This window comes from Homo sapiens, chromosome 1, assembly GCF_000001405.40.
Source record: "Homo sapiens chromosome 1, GRCh38.p14 Primary Assembly".
NCBI classification, from domain to species: Eukaryota; Metazoa; Chordata; class Mammalia; order Primates; family Hominidae; genus Homo; species Homo sapiens.
The window spans coordinates 114078092-114085794 of NC_000001.11; the positions used below are offsets into that span (position 1 = coordinate 114078092).

The 7703-nt window shown below is 46.4% G+C and overlaps 1 annotated feature.

Annotated features, from left to right (window-relative positions):
* Window positions 351–851: an enhancer, noted in NCBI's record as "H3K4me1 hESC enhancer chr1:114621064-114621564 (GRCh37/hg19 assembly coordinates)". NCBI's record gives its function as "activates a minimal SCP1, AML or CMV promoter by ChIP-STARR-seq in naive H9 embryonic stem cells {active_cell/tissue: H9 hESC(naive)}" and the evidence as "EXISTENCE:reporter gene assay evidence [ECO:0000049][PMID:30033119]".

Below are 7703 nucleotides of genomic sequence, written 5' to 3' on the forward strand. Positions count from 1 at the left end.
TCAACAAAATTATTTTAAAAAATTAGCTGGGCACAGTGGTGGACATCTGTGGTCCCAACTACTCAGGAGGCTGAGGTGGGAGGATAGCTTGAGCCCAGGAGGTAGAGGCTGCAGTGGGCCATGTCCTTTCTACTGCACTCTAGACTGGGCGACAGAGCCAGATCCTGTCTCAAAAAAATAAAAAGAGAAAGAGAAAGAGAAAGGAAAGGAAAGGAAGAAGGAAGGACGAAAAGATGAGTCAGAGCGTCTGGGCCTGGGGATAAGAATATCAATGAGAGGGGACCCGGAGGGGACTGGTGGCCAGAAGGAAGGAGTGTCAGTTGATAGCAGATGCACTGAGTGTGAGTCCACTGCAGTCTTCTACATGGAGTTCTTCAGCAGGAAGTTGGGAGCTTGGGAGAAAGGTCACTGCTGTGGGGCAACTCAAGACATTTTCTCATGGGCAGTGAAACTGAGGCTCACTTAATCTTCCATCCTCAGACCCAATGGCTAGGACTAGTGCCCCCTGAGACACCCACCTTTACCCTTACCTTCTGCCCTGATGAGACCCCAATAATCTAGAGTCTATTTCCTAACATTCTCCTGTATCTGTCCTTCAGTGCTTAGGAAAGTGTTGCTGACTATAGGAAAGAAAAGACTGGGTTAGGGAGAGGGGTGTGAAGAGGTGCCCAGGCCAGGGCAGCGCTCCACCACTGCCTCCTGCCCTGCTTCTGCCCAACCTGCAGTTAGCCTGGTTTAAAACAGATGCTCTCAGTCATGATCAACCTGTCTGCTTCTGCCTTTGCTCTGTGGTCATGGGAAGCAGATGTTTCACCCTGCTGTAGTGGGGACTGAATTACAGTGGCATTGGTGTGGGGTGACCTTCAGGGCACTGGGCAAGGCTCGCAGAGGGGGTGCCTTTGCTAACACCCCTCCTGTGCAAGTCTGGCAGTGTGTTGCTCATGGGGCTGCCGGCCAAATGCCAGAGAGGGAAACAGTCACACCCCCAAACTGTTCATGAACAGACCTAAGTAGACACACAAGTCCCATCACAGGGGAACACAATCCCCCTATGAGCTGTGTCTGGGTCAGGGTCTTCTCAACTTAGGAACAACCATCCCATGCCAGGTAAAGCCAAATCTCTAATTCTGGGCTTAATGTTCCTTGATGCATGTGCCTGGACTTTGTTATGCATCAGAAACACCAGCCAGCTTGTTGAAGTGCAGATTCCTAGGCTCCAATCTAGTGCATCAGAGCTTCTGTGGGTAGCAATTTACATTTTTAACAAGCTTTCTAGGTGGCTCAAATGCACAGTAAAGTTTGAGACGCCGATGGAGAGCGTCCTCTGTTAAATCACACCAAGACTTCTTTCTTGCATTGTCCATCACAGACCACGTTTGTGGGGTTACTATGTTAACTGTTTTCTGAATCTCATGCTGGGTATTCTGAATCTGGGTACTTGACTCTGGTTTTGGCTCGTGTGTCCTCCCCTCTTGGCTGTAGGTGCCTCCTCTCTGACAGGCTCCCCATGATGGGGCACCTGGATGTGCAGGGCAGCGGGAGGGAGCCAGGCGAGAAAGGGCACGAAAGAAATAGGACACCAGCTTCTAATAAGGGAGTGTGCCCAGCACCGGCTCAAGGTATGGGAGGGAAAAGCACTATCCCCTGCAGGGCTCTTCTGGAAGGCTTTTCAGGAGAGGCTGTAGTTAGGCCCCAAGAATAAGTGGGATTAGGTTTCCTGAGACTAGGGAGGGTATCCTGAAGATACAGAGTATAAACAAAGCATGGTGAGAGGAGGGTGTTGCATTTGGCCATAGAAACGGGTGCTGAAGACCCATGAAGTGTTTTGAACACCAGATTAATGCATTGTCAGTTTCATGTAAGGCAAAGTGCTTGGTAATTTTTAAAGCTCTATGCAAACATTAATCATTCCTTTCTCCTTCTGTGGGCAAAAGGGGAGTTAGTAAAAAATTATGAGTAATAGTGGGATGCCTGGCAAAGGTTTTAGGATGAATAAATTACTAGGGAAGTGGAGAACAGCTTTTTAGGGGTTCAGAAGCAGTTGTCCAGGGGCTGAATCTTATTAGTTTGGCCAACAGTGTTAGCTTTTCAAAAAAAATTTTTAAATTAAAAATTTTTTTTTTCAGACGGAGTTTTGCTCTTGTTGCCCAGGCTGTTGTGCAATGGCACGATCTCGGCTCATTGTAACCTCCACCTCCTGGGTTCAAGTGATTCTCCTGCCTCAGCCTCCCAAGTAGCTGGGACTACGGGTGCCTGCCACCACATCCGGCTATTTTTTTTTTTTTTTATTTTTAGTAGAGATGTGATTTCACCATGTTGGTCAGGCTGATCTCGAACTCCTGACCTCAAGTGATCCACCCACCTTGGCCTCCCAAAGTACTGGGATTACAGGCATGAGCCACTGTGCCCAGCCTTTTTTTTTTTTTTAATTTGCATTTGAATGTCTTTAAATAGAGCTTTCACCTTCCAGTTCCCACAACCTACAACTCTACGTTTGTTTTACAGCCTCACACATTTACACCTGCTTAGCCCCAGAAGGTATTAGAGTTTTTAATCTCTCAATTGGCACAGAGGAGGGTGAGAAGTTGAAATTCTAGTAGGAGAGATAACAGTAGTGGGAAGTAGTGAGGGCCCAGAGAGAGTGGGGCAGTGAGATAAGAAGAAGGAGACAACACAGAATAAGTAAATGGGACACGCTGGCGGATTGAGGGAGAGAGGGGAGTCAAGGGTTAAACTGATGGGACAATGCTGCTGAAGTCTGCAGAGGCTGAGGAGCAGCTCTGAAGGATATGTTGGGTTTAGGTTGTGGCAGGATATCTCAGGGCCTTGTCTAACGGCAGGTGACAATTTGGGCCTGGTGCTCAGAAGAATAATGGTAGCTGGGGACGCAGGTCAGCCCTGGCGTGGAGGCAGTGGGTGAAGTGGAGGTGGAGGTGAGTGGGGGTAAGAGTGTGCTGGGAGAGGGTGGAGGGCTGGAGGAGCCTTCTCACTGAGGAGGTGTGCAGAATAGTCAGGATGGCAGCAAAGCTGGATCTCATGCAGGATCCTTGAGTCAGAAAAGGAGAGAACCTCCAGGAGGGAGGGGCTGATTGGCTGCCAGAGGCACTTTGGCAGCCGAGGAGAATATGGGTTGGAAACACGTCCTTTAAGAAGCCATTGACTTTGAGCATCGGTGAGCAGGTCAGCAGGGGTGAGCGTCGGCATGGTTGGGCTCTGCTCCTTCAGTAAGGGAGCACTGAGGCAGTGGAGCTCCGCCTTTGCCTGAGGGGCTGGTATGGACTCCCGGCACAACCTGGCTCTAAACTGGACAGTGGAAGGGTGGCCTCTGCTCTGACCTGTCACTGTGTCTTCCCTGAACGGCTGTGCTTGGCCAAAGCTGAGCTGTTCATAGTTGTCCCACACTAGCTCACTCTGCGCCTCTCCCCAGATGGCCTAGAAGACCACGGCCCTCTCTGCTCCTCAAGCCAGAAGCTGCTCTCGGGTCAATAAGCTCGGGTTGCTGGAACTTTTCGGACTGCCGAGGTCACTTCTGCTTCTGGGTTGTCTGACCACTGGCCAGTTTTTTGCTTGCTCTTTAGCGGCTCTTCCTCCTTGTAGCTCAGCACCCTGTGAGGTTGAAGAGGCGGCTGCTCAGCTGTGGCTGAAAGTGAGGAAGCTCCCTTTAGGGGGTAAGAGTTGGAGTTTGAGATGAAAAGTGTTTGGTGCCGCTTGGCTTGACATTTTCCCCCAAAGTGAAAATCCAGCTGGCTTGTTCCCCTGGTTTGTCTCTGAAGCAGTATCTGGTATTTATAGAAGACTGAGCCAAGGGCCAATCAGCTCAGAATGGAAATGCCTGAGCCTGGAGTTCTCTGGGGCAACCGTCTCCTGGCTTTCTCTCTCCCTGGAGTTCAGCTAAGGTTTTCTCTCGAAAACTTTCAAGCCCTGAGAAGTTTGAAGAGACACAAACAGGGGAAAGGACCCTAAAGCACACTGACTGTCTTTCTCTTGGCATCGACGTCTTGTGTGTTTTTTTATGGTTGATAGCAAGAAGGTAGCTGAAGAGCTAGGAGAGTGGCCTGGTGTGGGGCGCAAGGAGCAGCTGCAGCGTCCAGCTGTCTAGGGTGATGGGCATAGTCTCCTGTTCCTACAGCCTCTAGGACGTCCTGCTTCTGAATTATGTGCCTGTGCTAACCTACTGGGACAGAATTGTTGTTTTTAGCATGTACCTTCCAGCTGCAAGGAAAAGGAAGGGGATATTTGACATTTTAAAAGACAGCTGGAATGAGTGAGATATCAACTGACACATTCATTAAATGTCATCACTTTTGTTTCTCTTCCACATTCAGTGCTTAAGTTATTCTAAATTAATTACCCAGCCACTTGATTTATTCCTTACACCCCCCTCTGTGCTTCCTGCCACCATCTCCAGGCTTAAGAGCAGCACAAGTTACCCGGTTGTAAAGGCTGAGCAGGGGCCTTCAGAGAAAGAGGAGACTGTCCAGGCAGCTAGGCTGCAGGATGCTCTCACAATGGGGTCAGAAGCCGAGCCTGACCACTGCCATGAAAGTTGTCATCCCCCTGTTTTACAGATGAGGGAAGTGAGGCTCAGAGAGGATAAGTGATCCATCCAGGGCAGACTGGGGAGGCTCAAGGAGCCAGAATTTAACCCAGGTCTTCTGCCTCTAGGCTCTTGAGCTTACCAAATGTATTGGTGTCAAAGAGGCAAATCTATTTTCACGTGCTAGGTAGCCACAGGGATTAAATAAACTGAAGAATACAATTTCACACCCCCCTCTGGCCCTTACTTCCTTGTCAGGGAGAGGGAGAGCCAGGTGCAGGAGGACAGCTACAGGTTAGCATCTAGAAGGCAGATGAGGAATCTCTCTGCACAGTAAGTCAGGTATATTTGTATCATTCGGCAAAGAAAGTTCTTAGTAATTTAAGGAAGACAATGTGTGAAGTTTGTCTGGCTCTTTGATTTCACAATCCATTTTAACTGCTGTGTGTCATTGTTGGTAATTTTTCCAGAGAGATGAAAGACCATGGTACAAAGGGCCATAGCCCTTTCAACTGTGATTAGCAAGTCCTCTGTCATCTCAGGGACTCACATTTCCACAAACAGAATTTCTAGCCCCAGGTTTCATTCCTTATTGCTCCAGCCTGAAATGTTCCCACAGGCCTAGCCTAGGTACAGACTGTAAGGTGAAGCCACAGAGAAAAGCAGAAATGCTACATGGCTCACGAAAGCCTGGGGCATCTGCCCACATTGGTGCTCTGTGTATCTCTGGATAATCTCTGATGTGTCACCAAACTTCCCCAAACTGTGTGGAAAAAAGAGCCACCTCAGGGAAAAGAGTCACATATCTCCTCCATTCCTTTCCCCAGTACTAATTTACTGTGAGTTGGTTGCCCTCAGGTGAGATTGCTGCAGGAGGTGATTCACAACTCTGGTACTGAAAGGAAAGAGATGCAAGGAGGCAGGAGAGCTGAGCTAGCCTGTGGGAGTGCCTGAGTTTGCAGGGTTCCTCTGAACCCTCCGTATTGTCTGCCCTCTCCTGTGGCAGCTCATCAGCTCATCACCAAATTTCCTTTTTCGTCAAGTCTCATGGCTCAGGTTTTGTCTGGAGCTGCATATTGTAACAGCGTGATGAGCTCTCCTGCCTTTTTGAAGCTCAACACTGCTTTTCAGTAGAGCTGTGAAGTTATACTGACTTCATTCTTCCTTGCATTGTCCATCATTTGCATCATTGTCATTTGGGTTTACTGGCTAGGGTTGGGTTTGATAGGCAGATCCCACAACTCTTTAGCTGCTCCTGGAGGAGTAATTGATATGGGGGATCAAATTAGTATGGATGACTGATGGTTCTCAAAGAGGCCATCACGGGACCCTCTCCTGGAAGGGATGAGGCTGGGGTTTCAGAAGGTACATTTAGGGGTACACCATGAAGGGATATGCATAGTTGTCTGGGTTAGGTAATCCTTCTCTAGGATGTCTTAAATCTCAGGTATTTCTCAAGGTTTGGTTTTACCATATTACAGAGTAATTTTCTATTTCTTCGTTTGTCTCCTCTGAATTGTGAGCTCCTTAAAGAGCTATGTTTTATTAGAAGGCAGTTTAGCATCATGCTTAAGCATGTGAGCTCTGGGATTTAATTACCTGGGTTCAGTTTCATGATCTTGGGCAAGCTCTTTACCCTCTTAGGGCTGGAGGGAGAATTAGATGAGATTTTGCATGTAAAGCACTTAGAACAATGCCTGGCATATAGTAACTGCTTAGTATATGTTAGTTATTATTATTATTAAATTTGCATGTCCTCATCTCTAACATGATACCTGATATACCTTAGATGCTCAACACATGTGTTTTGAGTGAATAGATGAGTAAATACCCATGTGTATGTAGAAAAAGAGGTGAGCCTGCCATAATGTGAGTAAGCCCAGTTGAAGTTCTTGAGCATTCTGGGGCTGAGGTAGCGCAGGAGAGAGAAGCTGGGCTTCAGGATTGAGTTCTGTTGTCGGGTTAGGAATTGGGCCAGGACACTTGCAGTTGTGGGAGATGACTTTCACAGGGACTTGGTAAGAGTTGAGTTTAGTGTAAAAGGTCTGGTTAGCTAGGTTTGACTTCCACATGTACTTGGTTCTGTACCAAGGATCACAACATGTGTATATCAGGAGGGTTCTCAGAGCAGAGGTGGATTTATGGACAGAATGTCAGCAAATGGCACCTTGTGGAGTGATTATAGTGTCTTCAAGAGTTGGGTTCCTGCCTATGTTACCCAAAGTAACCCACAGATTCAAGACAATTTCTATTAAAATCCCAATGATGTTTTTTAAAGAAATTGAAAAATTCATTCCAAAATTCATATGGAATCTCAGGGAACCCTACATAGCCAAAACAATTTTGAAAAAGAACAAAGTTGAAGGACTCATTCTTCCTGATTTCAAAGCTTACTTCGAAGCTACAGTAATCAAAACAGTATGGAACTGGCATGAAGACAAACATATAGACCAAATAATTAGAACAGAGAGTTTAGTAATAAACCCTTGCATATATGGTCAAATGATTTTTGACAAGAGTATCAGGACCATTCAATGGGAGAAAGGACAGTCTTTTCAACAAATGATGATGGGAAAACTGGATACCCACAAGCAAAAGAATAAAGTAGGACCCTTACCTTAGAGTATATGGAAAAACTAACTCAAAATGGATCAAAGGCCTAAATGTAAAGAGCTAAACCTATACAACTCTTAGAAGAAAACAGAGGAAATCTTCATGACATTGAATTTGGTGATGATTTACTGGATACAAAGGCACAAGCAACAGAAGAAAAAAGACAAATTGGACTTCATCAGAATTAAAAGCTTTTGTGCCTCAAACAACATGGTCAACAGTGTTAAAATGCAGCCCACAGAATAGGAGATAATGTTTTCAAATCACATATCTGATAAAAGATTAATGTCCAGAATATTTAGAGAAACTCCTACAACTCAACAATAACAACAGAAACAACCCAGTTCGAAATGGGCAAAGGGCTTAAGTCAACATTTTTTCCAAAGAAGACACACAAGTGGCCACTAAGCACATGAAAAGATGGTCAACATCACTAACCATTAGGAAAATGCAAATCAAAACCGCAATGAGATACTACTTCACACCCATTAGGATGGCTACTATCATAAAAGCAAGGGTTGGTGAAGATGTGGAGATATTGGAATTCTTGTGC